This window comes from Homo sapiens, chromosome 18, assembly GCF_000001405.40.
Source record: "Homo sapiens chromosome 18, GRCh38.p14 Primary Assembly".
In the NCBI taxonomy this organism is placed as follows: domain Eukaryota; kingdom Metazoa; phylum Chordata; class Mammalia; order Primates; family Hominidae; genus Homo; species Homo sapiens.
The window spans coordinates 46,755,358-46,778,039 of NC_000018.10; the positions used below are offsets into that span (position 1 = coordinate 46,755,358).

Consider the following 22,682-nt stretch of genomic DNA (forward strand, 5'->3'; position numbering starts at 1 on the left):
GAGACATTTATTTTCCTATCAACCTAGGGGAGGGGCGGTGAGAGTAGGGAGACACTAGCAGCAAACTAAAAAACAGCCCAGCAGCTAGGAGAGAGGGCTCTTGCCAAGAGAGGCTCTGATATGGGTGTATCCTAGAGCAAGAACCTCCCCTAATCTCTCAAACCAGGCGGAGGAACCCCAAGTGTTTCCTTAAGCCAGCAGAGCCGGCAGAAGGAAGTGGCTGGCATTTCAGTGTATCTTCTGCAAATAGAGAGGCTGAGGCTGTGCCCGAATTGAATTTCTGAGTGACACCTCCTACTGCTCTTTCTCTTGGAGTTTAACCGTGGATTGGGGTGGAGTAGGGGGAGAGCCCAACGAGGGGTTAACTTATGCTGCAGCTCTGACCTTTTGCGCTAAGGATGAGAAAAAAAAAGCCATCTGTTTCAGAAGGAATCAGGTTGTTGAGTTTCACAGATCCAGTGGCTGTGGGATTGTAAGACTTCACTATCACTATCCCTGTCGCATAGCCACAGCCCACACTACCACCCCCACCGAACCCGAAGCTCCTGGAGGGGAAAATGCTTTTTCTCCCAAGGGTCCTTACGAAAGTTCAGGACTCGCGAGGTTATAAACAAACAAACAAACAAACAAACAATCGATACGATTTTGAGCCCTCCGACCCCGGAGTCCAAACAAATGGCCATAGAACTGTGGGTCTGGAGGACACCGCTCCGATCCATGCGGTCTCTCCGGGTATTAAATGGATTTATCGTCAGCCTGGTTGCTTGGAATTCTATTCTGTCCTTCATTTTTCACAGCGGAACAAAGTTGTCTGGACCCTCCAGCCAGCGCTGGGCAGAAGCAAGCAAGGATGCTCTTGGAAACGCGGTGGCCCAAGCCTAAGCGGCCATGCTCGGGGCTAGGAGCGGACCCCACGGCCACTCACCCCGGGGCGCTGCGACCGAAGCTGCCGCGGCCACTGCCACCCGGGGGCTCGCCGGCCGGCTCCGCGCATCCCGCCCTCTCAATGGACTTTCTTACCTCTTAATGTAGTTCCTGCCATACAGGATCTGTTGCAGCAAGGTCACCAAGGCAAAGGCGCAGATGAAGATGAAGAGCAAAGTTCGGCTCCCCAACAAATCCCGGTTGGCCGAGGGGTCCGCGTAGCGCATCCTGGCTACCGGGCGCCGCGGGCGCGGGGTACGGGGCGGCCAGGCAATGACTCGCGGGGTTCCGGGGCCCCGGGGGGCGCGCGGCCGACTTGGCGCCTCACGGTGCGGTCAGGCAGGCGGGGGACTTCGAGGGGCAAAGTTTCTGGTTGGCGCGGCCGGAGCTGGGGGCATCCAAGCGTCGCAGGCGCTGGGGCGGCAAGCAGGACAGGGCCGGTGGCAGGGAGCTCTGCCGCGGCCAGGGGCCTTCCCCACCCCCGGGTACCTTTACCTCCAGGCGCCGGTGCCGGGTAGCCGCCGATTTCCCCGCGGAGGGGAGACGCCAGGTGCCACGAGCCGGAGGCGGCCCCTCCCGCCGAGGTGGCGGCCAATGGGGAGCAAGACCCGGGCTCCGTCCCCTGTGCGCCCCAGCGCGCCGCGCATCGACCCCTCCAGTCCGGCGCCGGATCGCGGTTGCCCAGCGCGCTGTGCCCTGCCGGGGGCGGGCCACGTTTGATCTCCGGGCCCGCAGCAAGGGATCGCGAAGGTTGGCCTCCGGTTCTGCCGATAGGGACGGGGGGAGGGGGCGTACAAAACACCCGCGCAGTCTGGCTAATGATAGGCGGGCCGTGGGGAGGGGGAGGGGCGGAGCGCAAAACGCCGGGTTTGAATCTTGGAATTAAAAAGAGGGCAGGGGCTGGGCGCGGTGGCTCACTCCTGTAATCCCAGCACTTTGGGAGGCCGAGGCGGGCGGATCACAAGGTCAGGAGTTCAAGACCAGCCTGGCCAATATGGCGAAAACCCGTATCTACTAAAAATACAAAAAACAAAATTAGCCAGGCGTGGTGGCACGCGCCTGTAGTCCCAGCTACTTGGGAGACTGAGGCAGAAGAATCGCTTGAACCTGGGAGGCGGAGGTTGCAGTGAGCCGGGATCGCGCCACTGCACTCCAGCCTGGGCGACAGAGCGAGACTCCGTCTCAAAAAGAAAAAAAAAGAAAAAAAAGAGGGCAGGAAGAGGAAACAACAGTTGCGGAGCTGGACTTGATGGAAGGGAGCATTTGCGTGCGGCGCGCAGGGCACTGAGTCACCATCGTGGCCGCGTCCTCGCGCTCTCCTAGCGATTTCTCCGGAGAAAGCGGAGCAAGGTCAGCCGGGCAGCCCTTCAAGGACGGCGCGCCGCTCCTGCATGCTGATGGCCTGCGGGGCTGCCTGCCCGTGCCCCGGCGCCCAACTCCTACAAGGAAGAAATTCAGGGGCTCCCCGCCCCCGCCACAGTCCTCTTCCCCCTCCCCAGCTGCAACTCGGCAGCCGTTCGTCAAAGACCCTGTTGTCACCGAGACACTGGGACCTTGTCTCATCCTTGGAACCACTCGTAAATCTTAGGTCAGGCAGCCGGCAGCCTTCGGGGACCACAGTCCCCCCAAAGCTTTAGGAAGCCAGTTACTACATCCGGAAAGATTCGTGCTTCAGAACGCAAGCCAGGGAGAATAATCACAGAAACGCAATGCGAATGTCGTGCCTCTCAGAAATTCTTAGCCTGAAATACCGTCCCCACCCCCCAACCCGGCCAGGCGACAGTCCTGTCATCCTAACACCGCAGAGGCTCCAAGCGCTGGGAGTCGTGTGCCCGCGGCGCTCGCCACTGAGGCCGGTTGGAAGATTCTAGGGTGCCCCTTCCCAGGTTCCAGCAGGCACTCCGGGATGTTCTAGAGTCAGGCCAGGGATTCAACAGCGAACCTGACCGAAACTCAAACCTCAGCACAAGAACTTTGATGGGGGAAGTGCCCAGACTCCAATACTCTCGACCTTGGCATTTAGTAGTTTCTTCTTTGAACTGGAAAGATCAAATAATGCACAGTAAAATCTCATGATAAGGGTTCCACCAAGAATTCGGGATTTGTGTTAATTCATAAGGCAGAAGTGGCCCCTGTGCTATCCATGAAGAGTTTCTGTATTTCTCTGCAAGGTCACAGGTAGGCTTTTTTTTTTTTTTTTTTTTTTTTTTTTTTTTTTTTTTTGAGACGGAGTCTCGCTCTGTCGCCCAGGCCGGACTGCGGACTGCAGTGGCGCAATCTCGGCTCACTGCAAGCTCCGCTTCCCGGGTTCACGCCATTCTCCTGCCTCAGCCTCCCGAGTAGCTGGGACTACAGGCGCCCGCCACCGCGCCCGGCTAATTTTTTGTATTTTTAGTAGAGACGGGGTTTCACCTTGTTAGCCAGGATGGTCTCGATCTCCTGACCTCATGATCCACCCGCCTCGGCCTCCCAAAGTGCTGGGATTACAGGCGTGAGCCACCGCGCCCGGCCACAGGTAGGCTTTTTAACCAATTAAAGAAAAACTCCAACATTTAGAGGGCCCATTATTATAATAATTCCTGTATTTGTTTGCTGTCTGGCACATAAAAACGTGCTTCACTTGCATATATTAATGAATTTTCACCTCCTAGCCCCTGGCTAACCCATTTTACAGCTGAAAGGACTAAAGCAACAGATGCCCAAAGTAACTCACCTAGCAACAAGTCTTGGGATTCTGAGATGAGGTTCTTTCTCCCACACACACAGGCAGGCTGGCTTCTTGGGAGTGGGACTTGTTCATTTGTCCCCACCACCACCATTGATTTTGACTGATTGCTCCACTCTTGCTGTCTTCAAACTTTTGAACAAGGGGGTTTGCATTTCTCTTTGCACTGGGCCAAATTATGAGGTAGGTCCTACACACAGGCTCCAAGATGACAGTACTAATTTTTCACTAATTTTTCTCTACTTGGTGCTCAAGTGTAGAGTTTGAGGGGTACTATCATCTTCACTCCAGGCAAGGCACTGTTGTTTCTTTTGTATTCCTGCTTATTCTCCACCCCATCAGGTGCTCACTCTGATACCTGTCTTTGAGTGCTGTTTTCTTGGAAAAACAAATCTATTTTCAAGAAATGAATCAAAATTATCCTAAGAACTTTTTAATTGCAATATAATGCATTTACAGAAAAGTACACAAATCATAAATGTTCAGGTCGCTGTGTTTTCACAAGCTGAACACACCCATGTAACCAGTACACAGATCAATTATCGGCCCCCAGGAGTCCCCTCATGTTCCTATCTGGTTACTATGTACTCAAGAGTAACCACTGTTCTGAATCCTAACCCCAAAGATCAGTGCTTCCTGTTTTGTGTTTTATATAAATGCAATTATACATTATATATTATTTTGTGTCTGCCTTCTTTTGCTTAACGTTGCTATGAGATTTATCCATGCTGTTGCATGTGGTGGGCAGAATTACAAGAAGACCCCCAAGATTCCTCACCCCTTCTTGTATGCACATTCCCATAGGTATTGATCTAGGCGCTGCTGTGAAGGGAATTTGCAGATGTAATTGGCCTAAATCAGTTGGCTTTAATATCAGGAAATTGTCCTCAGTGGGCATGGCCATATGGAGCCCTTACAAGGGACTGGGCTCTTCCTGGTGAAAAAGATTTGAATCACGAGAGTGGCTGATATGAGGGAAATTCTTTGCTGTTGCCTTCGAAGACAGAAGAGGTCCACAAGGCAAAGGATGCAGACAGCCTGTAGGAGCTGAGACTGGCTCCTGGCTGACAGCCAGCAAGGAAATGAGGACCTCAGTCCTCCAATCATGAAGCAGACTCCGACTTCTGCTAACAACCTGAATACACTTCAAAGAGGATTCTGAGCTCCAGCCGCCTACACATTGATTTCAGCTGTTGGGACCCTCAGCCGAGAACCCAGCTATGCCGTGCCCAGATGTAAGACCTACACATCTGTGAGCTTGTAAGTGTGTGTTGCTTTAAGCCACTAAGTTTGTGGTAATATGTTTCACTGCAATATGAAACTAATACTTCTGTGTGCAGTTATAGTTTGTTCAATCTTATTGCTATATAGTATGCCATCAAACGACTGTGGCACAACTTATCCATTCTACAGCTGATGGACATCTGGGTAGTTGCTGCCATCAGCCTTCCAGTGCATGGTTTTTTGGGTGAAAACATGCATGCATATCTGCTGGGTATCTATTTCTAGAAGTAAAATTGCTAGGTCAGAGAGTATACATATGTTCAGCTTTAGCAATTACTGCCAAAGTTTTTCCAAAGGGAAAATTATTTTTAATAGGTATTTTATCCAGATTTGCCACGACCTAATAAGGAATTCGTCCCCACAATAAAACTAACTGGCTAACCTAATAGCAAAAAGCCCACCCAATCAAGAGCCAAGATAGTTGAGGGACAACAACAGCTCCAAAGGCACCCACTCTCCCTTGAGGAGGTACTCAACAGTTAGGTCTCCTGCATGAATTGGCAGTGAATGAGATTGATGCTGGCATTAGGAATAGCTAGAACTTTGCAGCAAGACTCTATGTAGAATAGATTTTGGTCACTTGATCCTCTGCACATGATCAGCAATAGTCCAGTGGTCTCTGCTGACACTGCTCTTCTAATCCTAATGGCATTTTAATTCTGACTATCTTCATATCAGAGGTATCTTTAACACACACACAAACACCTCACAGGCATCTCTAGTGAAGCTGGAGACCTAAGATCTCAAAACATGGAGGTCTGAAGTCCCTTTTGTTCCTATCAGTATGGAGCTAGATTCCATTTTAAGCCAAATTTATATTCTGATTGTAGAATTGCAGCAAACACTCAGAAGGCCTTGCAAACAAAAGAGTAAACACATGGATAAATGATCACTATGCCAGATTCAGTGAACACCATTTTTATATTCTAATTGCCAGGAATGGGGACAGCTGCATCATTGTTTAAAACACACACTCATGCACAATTAAGCCAGAACAAATGTCAACACTGGCACCATCTGCTAAATTACTGATAACTGATGAGCATTACTCATGCTGTGAGCATTGTCTCCAATATAAAATGGAAAGACTTTTTCAAAAACTTAGAGGTTTCTACCAGTTTTAAAAAGCCAGTTTTTATATCATACAGCACAACTGCAACCTGTCAGATTATGTAAGTGACATTTCACCCATGTGTTCGAGGAGTATGTGATAAGTACATGCTGTTTTTGTGCCTCTTTACATTTATGTTAACAAGCCAGGCCTTCAAGAGGCTGATTCCTGGCTCTGGGACACTTTGTCTGTGATGAGGGTATCTTGCTGTCAGGTGAGCAGAAATGCCCAGTTATAACCTTGTAATCAGAGAGCCAGGGTTTTGCCATTACATGGTCAACTGCAGACACAAGACTCTACTTCATCAGTCTCGTTTTTAATAAATTATATAACAGAAAAATGATTTAAACCCCTTGTTCAGTCCCCTTATGAAGTACAAATTGTATCCAATATAATTTATGAAAAATCATTTATAATCTTGAACCTGGAGATGAAGCCACCTTTCAGCTTTCATATCTCCAAGCTGAGAAGCATCCTCCTGCCTGTCTCAGCATCACTCCCAGATATTCTTCTCCTGCATTTGTTCCAATTTATCCAGTTTGTTTCAAAGGGTAGAGATATTATTATTAGTAATCCATAAACCACCTGATGCATCATAGTACAGAAAGATTCTCTTGCACCTCAGGCATGTCACACTCCTACAGTATGTTCCTGTACTTGCCAGAAACAGCATCACTGGAATAAGGTCACTCAGATCACATTCAGATGACATGCTGGACATAATGGACCTAGAATCTCCTTTTCTTACCTTAAAGGCTGGGCTGTAGGGTAGAAACACTTGGATCAGGTTCTGCCCTTTGATGAATTCAGCTAAGAGAATGTATTTTTTAATTTCCAAGCCAGTGCAAGCCCCTAGACGCATTTTGTTGGTGGTCTGTATAATGCTGAGACTTTCAGAGGAATGCCCTATAAATACAGCTGCTTAAAAATGTTTAATATTCCTTGGGTACCTGAGAAGAGAAAAGGGATGAGTGTTCCACTGTGATCATCTACTTCTGAAGCACCAAGGGATGTTTCAAATCCTAACACCATGGCCACAGTAAAGCATGTGTCATTTAACCACCATCCTAAATTCTAAAAGCTCCATGCATTGGGTAGACATGGCTAGTATGGACACTATGTGCTAGACATTGTATGACATGCTAGGGAAACGAGAATCAGTCATTCACAGTCTGTGCCTAGAAAGGAGTTTAAATTCCCATGAGGAAGACAGACAGTGCCCTATAGTAGGATTAAGATCTGTCTAACCCAAATTGGGAGTGACAGAGAGGTCAGTGGGCAGGGGGCAGAATGGCAAGGAAGGTTTCCAGAGGAGGTAGTGTTTGACCTGAATTGTGATGCGTGAGGACGTTCAGCCAGGTAAAGAGGTGGGACAAGGTACTGTAGGTGGAGGCTGGCAGTGGGTGATGGGGTACAGTTGGCTCAACACGGCTGAAGAGATTAGGCTGGGTGGGTGAGTGCGAGACAGAGCACAGAGAATTGGGATTTTATCCATGAAACCATTGCAAGATTTTAAGTAGGGGAATGATATGATCAGATTTGCATTTTAGATAATCAAGCTGCAGGCTAGTGGAGCACAGTTTGAGGGTTCAAAGACTGAAAAGGCACGGAGATGCCGGCTTGTCTTTCTTTTCCCTGATCAGACCAGACCCCTTCCCTTGGCCTCCCCTTCCCACCACATACCTCATTGGCAGGCAGCCCTACTATGAGCTCATATTATTGTACCAATTTGAGAATTAATTATCTGCCTCCTTCCAGGGTAGCAGGAAAAGAGTAGAGAAACATGATTACTGACTGCTTTATAGAAGCTGTCACCATATTAAGTGCTTCATCATTCAATTCACCTGAGATGCATGGAAATAGGTTAAGCTTGATTGAGGCTGGTCCACCGCAAAACTGTGCAGTTAGCAGAGTTTGTTTTTGGTACATATACCCTTTTGTTACTCTGCAGCCCCCTCTGCTCTATAGGTTCCTGGTATAATAACACTCTCTTCCCCTCCCTTTTGGAACCTCTGCTCTTGGGAAAGGCTTTGATAGCTTTCTCTTAAATACTAGTGTTCCTGATGGGAGAAATTTAACCTGAAGCATCCTCTCTGACTGCAATGAAGGTGTTGTCCTGTTAGAACTGCACTCAGAGCACTGTAAAGAATTATATAAGTAGCCATCACCTTAACCACATCCTCAAACATTTTCAATGCAATCTAGCGGAGAATGATTTTCTGAAAGAATACATATCTGATTTTATAACAGAAATAAATGGAAATATGATTTGTTTTATAGAAAATGTCTTGCCCTCTAACTATTAATATGTCAATATTTATATATGAACTACAATAAGAACAGCTACAACAAGATTGATGTATACTGCCTGAACGCCCTGAAAATAGATCATTGTCCGCAAGTGTAGTTACCAATATAACAGCCTAGTCTTGCTGTGCTATGAGTTTGCCTGGATTGCCATTACTTATAGGCCAAGTAGACTGTGGTGAATGCCAGATACTAGCCAACTTTTTCTGAAAGAGCCAGATGATAAATATCATAAACTTTGTGGCCCAGACAGGTTCTGTTGCAACTCCCAACTCTGCCACTGTAGTGTGAAAACATAGACAATGGAGAACGAATGTGAATGGCCAGAGTTGCTCCACAGGATTGCTAACTCCTGCTCCACACTTTGTGATATGCAGATCCCATGCAAGAAGTCCCACCTCATTTCCCTGAAGAGTCACCATAAAAGGCATTCCATGTTTAGACATCATATTTACAAAGGCCTAATAAATAATAACATGTTAATCTATTATCCACCATCAACATGTTAGCACAGTTTTATTTATCCTTGAAGTGAACCTGGAGATCACAGGATGACCTTTCTATGCATACACTCTCCTCTAACTTTGACCAGCGGTCTCATAAATACACGTCCCAGGTCACCATGGACAACTAAACAAATATATGGGTTGCTTGGTGAGATTTCACCTCCACTTATGAAGACAATAAATTCTTGTGTCCTAAAAGTCAGTGTGTCAGTTAAGGTCTTTTCACGAAAGTAACAGGAACCATAGAGAAATTCATTATCTCACATATCAGGAAATCTAGAGGAGGGGTGGGCTCCACAATTGGCTGATCAGTGTCCTATGACTCCAGCTCCTTTCCATCCTTTGCTCTACCATCTACAATATAGGCTTCTGCCTAAGAGGAGCTGTCCTCATGGTCAGGGATAGAGGCCAGCTGTAACTGGGACAATAGCAGGAGAGTGGAGAGAGGAGAGGAGAGGGGAGGGGAGGGGAGGGAAGATTCTCCTCCAGCCTGAGACCAATAATAATCACCAGAGGGATCCATGTAGTGATTGGCTTATGCCTGGGTTCCTGAACCAATCACTGACAAGGGTATGATAGCTCATAGTTGGCTTAGTTGGCTAAGAGCCATCCCCAGGAGCTGGGATCAAGTCCAGAACCACATTGCTGCTACCTGGATGGAGAGGCAATGGATGTTGGAGTCAACCCGCATGTCCTCTATGATCCAGAGTGGCACTTTCTTCTACTTATTTTCCCCTTTCTTCCTTTCAATGGAACACGGTTGCTGTGATTAAGAGTAGTGTTGATGGCAGAAAAACAAGAGGATGGTGAGATGTCCTCCTCCAACTTCCCAGAAATGTTGTTTCAGAACCATATGTAGAATTGTGGCAGTCTCCTGCCCATCCCCCCAACTCTCTCTCTCTCTTCTCTCTCTCTTTCTCTCTCTCTCTCTCTTTACTGGTGCTAGCACCTATGACTACAATCATGAAGCCCATAGGAAAAGCAAGAAGCCAGGCAACAGGTCAGCCAACTTACAAGTGTGAAAACAGATTATGTTTGTTGCCTAAATACCTTGGTGTTCACCTGCAAGGAGGTGAGAAGGCTGAAGAAAGTGGCTGGCAATGTCCTAGAATGTGAGAGGTGCTGTAGGATGGGAGAAAGAGCTCAGAATGGGGTGTCAGGAGGAGACATGCTTTATGTCACAACTCTGTGAGCTCAGGAAAGGCACTTAACATCCCTAATGCACTGGTCTTCTCACCTGTAAACTGGAAAAATAATACCTATCCCTCAAAGTAGGAGTTTGTGAGGGTCAAAGTAAAAATGTAGGGGCATTTTGAAAACAGTGAAGCTATACAGTCCTAAGGTAAACAGCATTATTTACTATGACATTAGATAGGGGAGGAAATTTCATAAATGCTGAGTCTCAACAAATTTGTGAATTTGGTCAGGTATCTTCGGTGGTCTCCTTTTCCTCGCCTCAACACTTGACTAGTCCAAGTACCCAGGACTGTCTGCTGACCATGACTGTCCCCACTGAAGCCCAGACCAGGATCTGCCCCCTACACTCTCTGCTCACCAAGACTCACCTGTTCGGAGTCTCACTATCTCATCTCCTTAATGCAGGTCTGAAACTAATACTAAGGAAGCCTGGGATTGTGGAAAGGGCACAAGCCCAAGAGTCAGAAACCTGAATCCTAGGTCTGGCTCTGCCACTAACTGGCTGTCTGAATTCAGGCTTCATTAACCTATCGGCAACCTTGGATTTTCAGCCTATAAAATAAAAAAGAGCTACAGTTTCTAAAACTTTCTAACACTAAAATGCTGGCCTCAAACCCTGACTCTGTGACCTTCCTCTTGCCCTCATTCCCCTTCTCATAAATGGTAGCTCTGAGGGCACCGTCACAGAATGCAAGGGCTTGCTACAGCAAAGTTTGAAAACAACTGGGCCAAATGGTCCCCCAAGTTCTCATTCATCTTGAAAATGTTCTAACTTAGTCTCTCATTCTAAGAGAAATGGCTTCATGCTAATGTGAGATGCGATGATATAGTACCTCTACCTAGAATCACCTGTATTTGAGTAGGAATCCTCATAGCTGTATAATCTTATTAGTTAATATATAAAGATGGAATTTCGGGTACCATGTATGTCAAAGAGGTAGTTGGGAGACTCCCTGGGTTTCCTAAAATCATACCACTTGGGTTATCCACTGATCATATAGGGCTTAATTGCTTGAGGTGGTGAATGGCATTTTCAGGATGGTGAATGACCTCCTGGTTTCCCAATACTGGGCACATCAATGAGTAGGTTCCTATCAGATCCTTGGTTGACCATGTGGCCCAAGGAGGTCAAGGAAAGGCTTTTATGTCTTTCATGGGGCGTGCATGAGCTAGAATCAGGTTCAGCTTTGAAGGACAGAAATCTCCAAAATGACAAGAGTTAATATAAAGATACATATGTGTTGTTGTTTTTTCTTTACCATGTGACAGATGTTCAGGGGTAAGCAATCCAAGGCTGGCAGAGAGGCTCCATTTAAAAAGTCTTTGACAATCCAGGCCTTTTTAACTCACTACTCTAATATCCCAAAGATGTATCCCTGTGCTCATGTTCCAGGGTGGACACTAAAGCTCTAGCCATCACATCCAAGGTCCTTCAGTGGGATAATTTAGGAATCAGAGAGACTGAGGGGTTGAGGAGGATACTTATTATTTATTATTTAGGTGCACCGGCCCAGTCAGATTAACATCTAAAGGACTGAGCCCGGAACAAAGAGTCAGGTTACCTTTTAAGCATTTCTTGGGGTTGGGGGAGATCTGTGCAGGGGGAAGTATGTTACAGAAGTGAGAAACAAAGACAGTTATTCAATTGAGACATGCATTATATTATTTCTTACTTTTCAAGGAAAAACATGTATGACTTGAGTTTATCTGCCTAGTGACCTTGCAGCTGCACAGCTAGAGAAACAGGGTCTTCACAATGCCTAGAAAGGGAGAGATAAGGCTCACTAGCCATAGACAGAAAAACAGGCAGTTAATTTTTAAAGGACTCCACCTCTTTCTCTTCCTCAGGGGGAATGAGGTTTTTTACATACAACTGAGTTTTTGCTTACACATTTTTAAATTTCTTTTAATGCCTGTTTCAGTCTAGTTAACAAGATGGAGGAAGAGATAAAGAAGGACATTCCCCAAAGTCTCACAGAACTCTTCTGCTCACATCTCATTGGCTAACATGAGTCACATGGTGAACCTGGATGCAGGGAGGCTGAAGAAGACAGTCATCTTGCTGGGCAGAAGGAAAGGAAGGAGGACCTATGAACAGTGGTGGGTTCCATGTCAGGGGCTTGCCAGCCACAAGGAAAGGTCAGAAATTCCCAGAATTTCAGTTCTGAAATCTGTATGTTGACCCAGACTCTTGGGAATTTTACCTGGATATTTTCAGATTCTTAAACATAATTTTTAATGTCATTTGAATGGATGCAGAGGAGAGCTGTATAAGTAATTGAGTATGAACTTTAAAAATACATTAGGATTCAAAACTGCATGCTACAAAATCACCATCTTTTTAACCTTTTCAAAAAGGTGTAACATATGTACAGAAAAGTGCTCAAATCATAACATACAGCTCTCCATAAATTATCACAGAGTGAAGACACCCATGTCATTACCACTAAGAAAAAAAGAGAGAAACCATCACACCCCAGAACCCACCCTGTGCTCCTCCCAGCCTCATGTGCCCATCCGGAATGTTTTCCTTTTCTCTGCTTTTCTCCTCAAGTCTGTCTTAGCCCCCTCTTCTCTTCTGGCCACCTCACTTCCCAGGCCTCCCCGATACCCCGGGCAGTGGGGGGCTTTTTTGAGGCTGGTTTGCCTTTTGGCACAGTGGAAATAGCATGTGCTCTGGAGCCAGCTCTCCAAGATCTAGATCTCAGCCCACCTACTCACTAGCTTTGTGAATCCAAGCAAGAGACCTAATCCCTCTCAGCTCCCCAGGCACTATCCTGGGGTCACAGGTGCTGATTGGGTACTTCCCAGAGTGGCTACCGAGTGCCTGCTGCTCAGCATGGGGCTCAAATACACCCACTGCATTTTCATTTCTATGCTTTTGCTTGGGTCTCTGAAAGCTCCCGAGGGATGTTCATTGTTTCCATTTCACAGATTGCCACAATGATGCCTGCAGAGGTGAAATGACTTGCCCAGCATCACACAGTGGGGCAAGGGCAGAGTGAAGCCTGGACCCTAGGCTCTGAGGCCACAGCAGCACAGGACCCGGAGCTGTGCCCTCCGGCCCCAGACCTGCCATGGTCCTGTGGCTGTTTAGACGACTGTTTGGCCCAGGGGTGCCTGGCTCTCTAAAAGATTCACTGTTGCCCTCACCAATATTTATTTCAGCCTTCCCAGAATGTTTCCTAAACAGACACACGAATGCCAACTTTATGACACTTGCTAATAAAAATAAACCCCCTCAGTAGGACTGGGTTCCCGTGGTGCCTAATAATAGCTACAGGCGTGAATGAGTAAATAGCTGGCCACACAAAGTGTGTGGGACCCTCCAGGGCCAGACAGAATGTGTAGCAGTTAGTGCCAAAGGCAGCGTCTGCACCCAGGGCCTGGGGCCAGTGATGGGACACCTGGCAGGACAAGGAGAGCAGGCCCCATCCTGGCCACAAAGGCAAAGCTGAGGCAGTCCATGCCATCAACCAACAAGTACTACAGGACAGTGACCCTAGTGCAGGTGCTGGGTAATATGTGGGCATGTGGAGTTTGGAGGTTCAGAGGAAAACTCCTCACCTTTCCCAAGATGTTCAGACATTTATTTAGAAGGGACCGAGCCTTTCCTTACATTGGAAACACAAGACTACCATGCAAATAATCCTAGGAGAGGAGGCCAAGGGCCTGTCCAGAGTAACGTACAGAAGTCAGAGCCTTCCTTGACAGGGACTTTGGCTACGGGAAGAGAGGCACAGCCTGTGGTCTCTCCTGGTCCACTCTGAGCCTCCCCTCATTGTCTGTCCTCACCATGTTCCACCCTGTCCCTGCTCCTCAGGTTCTCCAAAGCTCTGAAAAGCAACAACAGCTACAACAACAGCATCACTGGGTTCTTGTTGGGTGCTAGGCACTGTTGTAAGTGCCTCCCTGGTGTTAGTGCATTTGGTCTTCATGATCTTATGAGGTAGGAACTATTATGATGCCCATACACATGAGGAAACTGAGGCACAAAAGGTTAAGTAACTGTCCAAGGTGACACAGCCAGGAGGATGTGGAAATGGGACCCGAACCCAGGCTGTCTGCTCCCAGAGCCCACCCTTCTTTTGCTTCCATCAAAATCATCAGTGCAGGGTGCTGGTTCCCTAGACTCCTGCCGACTCTTCCAAGCCCTCAGAACCCCAGGGCCAGAGGCAGGGTCGGTGCACTCCTGGGGACCAGATCTCTGCTCTTTCACTCCCTGTCAAGGCTCTGGTCGCCCAGCTGCACCATGCCATTCCTTGCCCTGGCCTGTATCCTCAATGTCTGGTACAACTTGCCCGTCTTTCCCTCCACCTCACCTCCTGCCCCCATTCTAGGGATTTGGACATCTATCCAGAGCTGTGGCCAGCAGCCAGCCTCGCAGGCCTCCACCTCCTCTGACCTTGCTTGCTGCCCGCTTTCCCGTCCACTGGGCAGTCCCCAGGGAGGTACAGGGCAGAGGAGCTGGTGTGTTAAGAGCTCGGGCTCTGGAATCACACTGCTGGGGTTCCAATGCCAACCCAGACCATTGCCAGTTTTGTCCCCTCAGATAGGTTTCTTGACCTCTGTGAGCCTCAGTTTCCCTATTTATGAGATAGGCCAATAAAAAAGAAACAACTACCTTCACAGTTATACCAGGAGTGAGATTAGGCCTGCCAATTACTTCAAAGGGAGCTGGCTGCATAGGAAGTATTTGGGAAATATTAGCACTTACTATGACCCCATCTAGTCAAACAAGTCTGAAATCATAAAATCAGATATTCCACTTTCTAACCACAACTTCCTGTTCTCCACTTTTCAAGACCTTCTACCCCCACTAGCTACTGTGCTGTATTAGTAGCCCAAGGGCTGGGTCCCCATTCTCCAGTATTCTTGCCATCTCCTGGTTTCTCATCCTTTCTCCTTTGCTAAGACCCCACGGTCAATCACTCAACTTACTTTCTTATAATACCCATGGTTCCCTCACATGTGGTCTGTTTCTATTAGGATTAGGTTCAGCCGGGTGCGGTGGCTCACGCCTGTAATCCCAGCACTTTGGGAGGCCAAGGCGGGCGGATCACGAGGTCAGGATATCAAGACCATCCTGGCCAACACAGTGAAACCCTGTCTCTACTAAAAATACAAAAAAATTAGCTGGGCGCGGTGGCAGGCGCCTGTAGTCCCAGCTATTCGGGAGGCTGAGGCAGGAAAATGGCGTGAACCCGGGAGGCGGAGCTTGCAGTGAGGCGACATCATGCCACTGCACTCCAGCCTGGGCGACAGAGCCAGACTCCGTCTCAAAAAAAAAAAAAAGGATTAGGTTCATGACATATGACAGAAAACCCAAAATAACAGTTCTTAAAATCATGAGTGTTTATTTCTCTCTCAAATTAAAGAAATCCAGAGGTGGTTAGCCCAGAGATAACATAGAGACTCTATGTGCCTGAGGAACCCTTGCTCCTCCTCTCTCGCTGTTTGCCCATTCTTAGAACACTGTCTTGTAGTCCAAGATGGCTGCTTGAGCTCCTGCCATGATGTCCACATTCCAGACAGCAGGAGGAGGAAGCAAGAAGAAGGAAGAACAAAATGGAGTGCCCCCACAGTCTATCCTTCTTTTCAGGAGCCTTTCCATCCCGTGCCTTCCTCTCATATATCCTTGGCAAGAACTCAGTTCCATAGCCACACCTAGTTGCTGCTTACTTGCTGTCCCAAATAAAAGGAGAAAAGGGGAAGGTTGGTTCTACTGCTGTACCTGCTTCCTGGCCAATCCACAGTCAGTGATGACTTCGTCATCCACTTCTGCTTCCAAGCTGTCCCCACTACTGGAGAAAATAACATAATTGAGCTGACAGGCAGCTCTGCAGACTCCTGGCTTCCAGCCCAACCAAGCCCCCCACACTCCTAGAAAAAGCCATTTTCCTCTCTTTTGCATGCCACATGGCAATTATTCCAAGTATTCAATCACTTTCCTGAATCGCTCTTCCCACCCCTTGCTCTTGGCAGGCAGTCTTGCCTCCATCCTCCCTCTCATCAGCCTTCAGACATCCCTTTCATTCCTCTGAAGCTGCTCCAGCTCCACCCAGGGGGTGACTTCCTCCCTGGCAAGAGTGGGCCTTCTCTTCCCCCTGAACCACACGGTGAGACTTAGCACAGAGCTGAACATACAATCAACAGAAACAAACTGATGAGAGCTGAGGTGTGAATAACTAAACAGCTTAATCTATACACTCTCCCACGATAATCTGCTTTTAACCAGAGCCTTCGGTGCTCCACTCCAAAGGAGGCACCTCGGGGAATCAAAGGGCCCAAGCAGACTAACTTGGGGTTATTTCAGGGACAGTGGTCCCCTGCCCCTAGCAGCCCTCAAACCTTCACAGCAGCAGATGGACCTCCAAATGCAGAACAGTTCCCCCTGAAAAAAGCCCAGAATCATGTGACACCATCACCCCTGCTCCTCTGTGACTTCAGCCAGTCCCCATGCTCAGGCCCTACTAGCACATGAGCACCGGGCATACTGTCCACCTCCAAAAAGAGGAAAAATGACTCAGGAGAGAATGCCAGTATTGTCCCATGTTAAAAAGAAAGTGTCCATATTCTTACAGAAAGCATCTCCTTTGCAACCAGGCTGCTTTGCTAGGAACAGCCTGAGTACGGATGTCTTGGGTTTAGGGACTGACTGAGGTCAGCCACACCATCCTTCAGTAAAGGGAGGAGAAGCAGAAGCCAGAGAAGAGCTGGGATTCTCAGCCCACCAAACCTCGTCTGCACAAAGCCTCCAATTCCTGCCACACTTGGGGAACCTGGAGGACTGGGGTGGGGGACTCTTTTCTAGGGACTCACATTGGCTCTCAGGGCCCTGGCCCCCTCCATCCTCCTCTGCTCCCACTGAGCTAATGAGGGACTGGGTCAGGAAATTGCTCAGGAACTAAAGGGTTCCTACTTAGTGTGAAAAGTCAAACTTAGAGGTTGCTATAAAAAGGAGCAAAAATAACAGATGTGCCTCTTCATCTGTCTTTATGTTCCCTGTTTCATTTATCACACACATCTTGCAATAGCTACTCATTTTCACATTTTCCTCAGTCACTTCCTCCCTCCAACGTGAATTACTTAAAATAACCACCACCACTTGGGGTCAGCCTCACAGCCATGCATAGCAGGCAGCGGCTCCAGGACAAGGACTGAGCCCAGAAGAAGCTTCAGGTGAGGCTTCATCACCGTCCTACTGACTCTCAAGACTCTTAACAGTAGTCAGAGGTGGCGCTGTGTGAGGAGGCCCCAGGACCCTACTGGGATGACACTGGTAACTCCGAGGACAAGCTTGGCTAGGAGAGCAAGAGAGAGCACAGGCCATATGGCATGAAAAGAACATGTGACCAGAGACAGGACCTGGATTTTTGGTTCAGTTTACACTGTCAGCATGCTGTGTGGCCATGAACAAGTTGCTTTCCCTCTCTGGGTCTCAGACTCATCTGTAAAAATAAGGGTATAAGAAGGCCCTTCCAGTGCTGGGTCCATGCCTGGAGCCTCTCCCACATTCGGTCCCACCTCCTAGATCTCCCTCCTTTCTATCTCTCACCATTTAGGCTCGCCAATGCCTTAGTTAGCTGCCTATTTATGAACATGTCTGGTCTAATGTAGTAGACTCTGGACTGTTCTTCCAGCCTCCTGGGTTAACCTCCTGCCATTTGTTATCCCCCTTGCCCCTGGACCACTCCTCAATGCTGATCTCATGTTCCATTTAAAATCTATTTGTTGCTTTCTTTCCATTGCATCCAACTTTTCAGCCACCATCTCAATTTACCTCTCTTATTATAGCTTCTGACTTCATTCACAAATATTTATTGAGCACCTCCTATGTGTCAAGCACTGTTCTAGGAGATCAGGATACATCAACAAGCCTTCAAGACTCAGTTCAGTTGTCACCTCTCCCAGAAAGCCTTCTCTCACTTCACTCCTTATGCCTTCTTGCAGGGCAGGATCACTGCCTCCTTGGTGTGCAATCTGCTACACCTGACGAGATTGTAACACAGCAGAAGCAGGAACCTTTCCCTCCTTCCCTGCTGTCTCATCAATGGACACACCCAGGGAAGGCAGCTTCAGTTTATGTTTGCTGAGTAGAATGATTAATTTTACATGTCAATTTGGCTGGGCCATGGTACCTCAATATTTGGTTATACACTAGTCTAGATCTTTCAGTGAAGATATTTTTTAGATGAGGTTAACATTAATATTTAAATAGGGCAGTAGATTTTGAGTAAAGCACATTACCCTTCAAAATGTGGGTAGGCCTCATCCAATCAGTAGAAGGTCTTAAGACAAAAAAAAAAGACTGAGGTCCCCAAAGGAAGAGGGAATTCTGCTTCCAGGGTGCCTTCAGACTTAAACTGCAACATCAACTCTTCCCTGGAGCTCCAGTCTGCCAGCCATACCCTACAGATTTTGGAGCTGCTAGCCTCCACAATGATATGAGCCAATTCTCTAAAACAAATCAATCTCTCCCTCCCTCTCTCTCTGTCTACACACACACACACACACACACACACACACACACACACACCCCCTATTGGTTCCATGTTTCTGGAGAAACCCAACTAATACACTAAGTAATTCAATCCTTCCCCCCTCTTCACCCTCCCCCCACACTTATCTGATACCTGTGGCTAAAGAAGGTGTTGGAGGAAGAGAAGTGGATAGCTTTTTTCATATGCTTATTATCCATTTTTCTACCTTCCTCTGTGAAGAGCCTTCCTTTGTGAAGAGCCATAATGCTGCTTTTTCTCTTTTATTATTGATTTGTAGGAGATCTCTCTATCTCTGTCTCTATATGTTGTGAACATTTCCCCCAACAATGTGGCTTGTGTTCTCATTTCTTAACATTGTCTTTTACTGAGCAGAAAGTTTTGATTTTGGTGGAGCCAAATTTATCATTTTCTTTTATGATTAGGAATTTTTGTGCCTAAGAAATCTTTTCCTACCCCAAAGTTGAAAAGATATTTTCCTATGTTTTCTTTTTCTTTTTTTTTTTTTTTGAAATGGAGTCTCACTCTGTCACCCAGGCTGGAGTGCAATGGCGTGGTCTCCGCTCATGGCAACCTCCCCCTCCCAGGTTCAAGAGATTCTCCTGCCTCAGCCTCCCAAGTAGCTGGGATTACAGGCACATGCTACCACCCCTGACTAATTTTTGTATTTTTAGTAGGGTTTTGCTATGTTGGCCAGGCTGGTCTCGAACTCCTGACCTCGTGATCGGCCCGCCTTGGCCTCCCAAAGTGCTAGGATTACAGGCGCGAGCCACCATGCCTGGCCTGTTTTCTTCTAAAAGAAGACTTTTAGACTTACCTTTCATGTTTAAATTTGTGATCCATCTCAAATTAATTTTTGTGTATGCTATGAAGTAGAGGTCAAGGTCCTTTTCTGTTTCTTAAGGACATTCAGTTATTCCAGTACCATTTACTGAAAAGATTCCTTTCCCCTACTGAAATGCATTGGTGTTTTTGTTGAAAATCAAGTTACAAAATATGTATGAGTTTACTTCTCAATTTGATATTCTATTCCATTGATCTATATAATTATCCATACACAATAACATATTGTCTTAACGATTATAGCTTTATAGTATATCCTGAAATCATCCAACCTCAATCTTTGAGAATTGTTTTGCTTATTCTAGGTCCTTCTGACATTTCCTACAAATTTTAGAATTAGCATATCAATTTTTACAAAAAGTCTGATGTGATTAAAACTGGGATTCATTTAACAATATTATATCTTAACTACATCAACTCTTCCAGTCTATGAACACAGATCTATGTTTATTCAGGTCTTCTTGAGCTTCTTCCAGCGGTGTTTTATAGTTTCAGCATAGAGGCCTTCCACATCTTTTGTTATATTTCTTCCTAAGTATTTTATGCTTTTTGATGCTCTGTAACTGGTATTTTTAAAATAAACTCTATTTTTAGAATAGTTTTAAAGAAAAATTGTGAGGAACAGAGTTTCCACATACTCCAAAGTCAGTTTCCTCTATTGTCAACAACTTACATTATAATGTATGGTACATTTGTCACAATTAATGAACCAATATTGATACATTATTACTCACCAGACTCCAGAGTTTATTCAGATTTCCTTAGCTTTTACCCAGTCCTTTCTCTGTCCTAGGGTCCCATCCAGGATGTCACATTATTTTTAGTCATCATGTCGTCTTAGGTTCCTCTTGACTGTGACAGTTTCTCAAACTTTTCTTGTTTCTGATGATATTGGCAGGTGAGAGGAGTAAGAGTACTGGTCAGGTATTGTGTAGAATGTCCCTCAATTGGGAACTGTGGGTTTTTCTCATGATAAGAGTGGGGTTATGGGTTTTTGGCAGGAAGACCACAGAAATAAACTGCCATTTTCATCATATCTTATCAATGGTACTGCTATGATTTGAATGTCACCTCCAAAACTCATGTTGAAATTTAATTGCCAATGTAATGATATCAGGCAGTGGCGCCTTCAAGAGGTGATTAGGTTATAACACCTCTGCCCTAATGAATGGATTAATGTCATTATCACAGGAGTAGGTTCCTCAAAAAAAGGATGAGTTTGGCCAGGTTTCCTCTATCTGTCTCTTGTTCTTCCATCATGGGATAATGCAGCACAAGGCTTTTGCCACATGCTAGCACCATACTCTTGGATTTTCCAGTCTCTAGCACTGTGAAGAATAAATTTCTTTTCTTTATAAATTACCCCGTCTGTGGTATTCTGTTATAGCACAAAAAAGACTAAGACAGGGGCCGGGAACCATGGCTCACATCTGTAATCCCAGCATTTGGGAGGCCGAGGTGGGCAGATCACCTGAGGTCAGGAGTTCAAGGCCAGCCTGGCCAACATGGTGAAACCCCGTCTCTATTAAAAATACAAAAAAATTAGCCAAGCGTGGTGGTGGGCACCTGTAATCCCAGCTACTTGGGAGGCTGGGGCAGAAGAATTGCTTGAACCCAGGAGGCAGAGGTTGCAGTGAGCTGAGACCACGCCATTGCACTCCAGCCTGGGCAACAAGAGTGAAACTCCATCTCAAAAAAATAAAAATAAAATAAAATTTTAAAAAGACTAAGACAGGGACATACTATCAACATGACTTATCACTGTTGATTTTGACCTTGATCATCTGGCTGAGGCAGTGTTTGTCATGTTTTCCACTGTAAAGTTACTTTGTTTCCCCTGTCCACACTATACTCATTGGAAAGAAGTCACTGTGCATAGCCACACTTAAGTGGTAGAGAGTTATGCTCCATTTCTTTTAGGGTAGTGTATCTACATAAATTATTTGGAATTCTTCTGCATATAATTTTCTCTGATCATCCACGAATTTATTTTGAATAAATAAACAAATGATTGAATATCATTTGTTTATATCAGTGTGGACACTGGATATTTACTGTAAATCTGGGTTATAGTCTAATACTATTTTGTTGCACAAATTGTCCCAACTTTGGTCTTTAGGGCATTTTTCAGTAGGCTTCTGTGTCCCTCTGACATACCTCCATCGGTGATTTTTCCTTTTGTTTGTTTCTTTATCACTCCCTAACATTCTGACACTACAAGATGCTCAGGCTCATCTATGTTATGCCCCAGTCTTAGAATCAGCCATATCTCCAAGGAGCCTTGGTTCCTTTTGTTTGAGAATGGCTTTAGAAACCAAGATCTGGCAACTAGGTGTGCTCACTGCTACTGAGGAGTTGCTGCATAAAAATGACATTTTTAATATTTATTCATTATTTAATTTTTATTTTTATTTTATAGACAGGGTCTCCCTCTGCCACCCAGGCTGGAGTGCACTGGCACAATAATAGCTCACTGCAACCTCAAACTTCTGGGCTCAAGTGATCCTCAAGCCTCAGCTTCCTGAGTAGCTAGAACGACAGAAGAGTGCCACCACATCTGGCTATTTTTTTTTTTTTTTGTAAAGATGGGTCTTGCTATGTTGCCCAGGCTAGTGTCAAACCACTGGCCTCAAGCAATTCTCCTGTCTCAGACCCCCAAAGTGCTGGCATTATAGACATGAGCCACATCTGGCCTGGCATCTTTTAAATCTCATTTTCCAAATTTTTGTCGCTAGCATATAGAAATAGAAATAATTTTTAAACATTTACCTCTGTGATGGTTAATAATGAGTGTCAACTTGATTGGATTGAAAGATACAAAGTATTGATCCTGGGTGTGTCTGTGAGGGTTTTGCTAAAGGAGATTAACATTAGAGTCAGTGGGCTGGGAAAGGCAGACCCACCCTTAATTGGGTGGCACCATCTAATCAGCTGCCAGCAACTATAAAGCAGGCGGAAAAATGTGAGAAGTTGAGACTGGCCTAGCCCACCAGCCTATATCTTTCTCCTGTGCGGGACGCTTCCTGCCCTCAAACATTGGACTCCAAGTTCTACGGTTTTGAGACTGGGACTGGTTCTCCTTGTTCCTCAAGCTTGCAGACAGCCTGTTGTAGGATCTTGTGATCATGTAAGTTAATACTTAATAAACTCCCCTTTATACACATATAAAGGCTATCCTATTAGTTCTATCATATTAGTTCTGTCCCTCTGGAGAACCCTGACTAATATAGATTTTGAAACCAGGAGTGGTTCTAGAGGAACAAAATATTAAGGATGGAGTTCTT

The 22,682-nt window shown here is 46.2% G+C and overlaps 1 protein-coding gene and 1 long non-coding RNA gene across 11 annotated transcripts in view, besides 1 other annotated feature; one reads left to right on the top strand and one right to left on the bottom strand.

Moving 5' to 3' along the window:
• ST8SIA5 (ST8 alpha-N-acetyl-neuraminide alpha-2,8-sialyltransferase 5) overlaps positions 1-1,696 on the bottom strand; it is an 89,233-nt gene extending 87,537 nt beyond the window's left edge. For all 3 annotated transcript variants that reach the window (NM_001307987.2, NM_013305.6, NM_001307986.2), the window contains exon 1: positions 1,021-1,696. In NM_001307987.2, the coding sequence (NP_001294916.1) occupies positions 1,021-1,151 (131 nt within the window). In that variant the 5' untranslated portion in view covers positions 1,152-1,696. The remainder of the gene's footprint in view (positions 1-1,020) is intronic.
• The window catches only part of ST8SIA5-DT (ST8SIA5 divergent transcript), a 45,010-nt gene continuing 22,519 nt past the window's right edge, over positions 192-22,682 (top strand). For 2 of the 8 annotated variants that reach the window (XR_001753434.3, XR_001753432.3), the window contains exons 1-2: positions 2,086-3,102; positions 3,440-4,909. This is a non-coding gene — a long non-coding RNA (ST8SIA5 divergent transcript). Of the gene's footprint in view, positions 1,675-2,085; positions 3,103-3,439; positions 4,910-11,976; positions 13,779-22,682 lie in introns of those variants that run through there. The other 6 variants (XR_007066356.1, XR_007066357.1, XR_001753433.3 and 3 more) reach the window with 6 other exon arrangements.
• Positions 1,279-1,668: a silencer, noted in NCBI's record as "silent region_9420". NCBI's record gives its function as "represses an Ori minimal core promoter by ATAC-STARR-seq in GM12878 lymphoblastoid cells {active_cell/tissue: GM12878}" and the evidence as "EXISTENCE:reporter gene assay evidence [ECO:0000049][PMID:35858748]".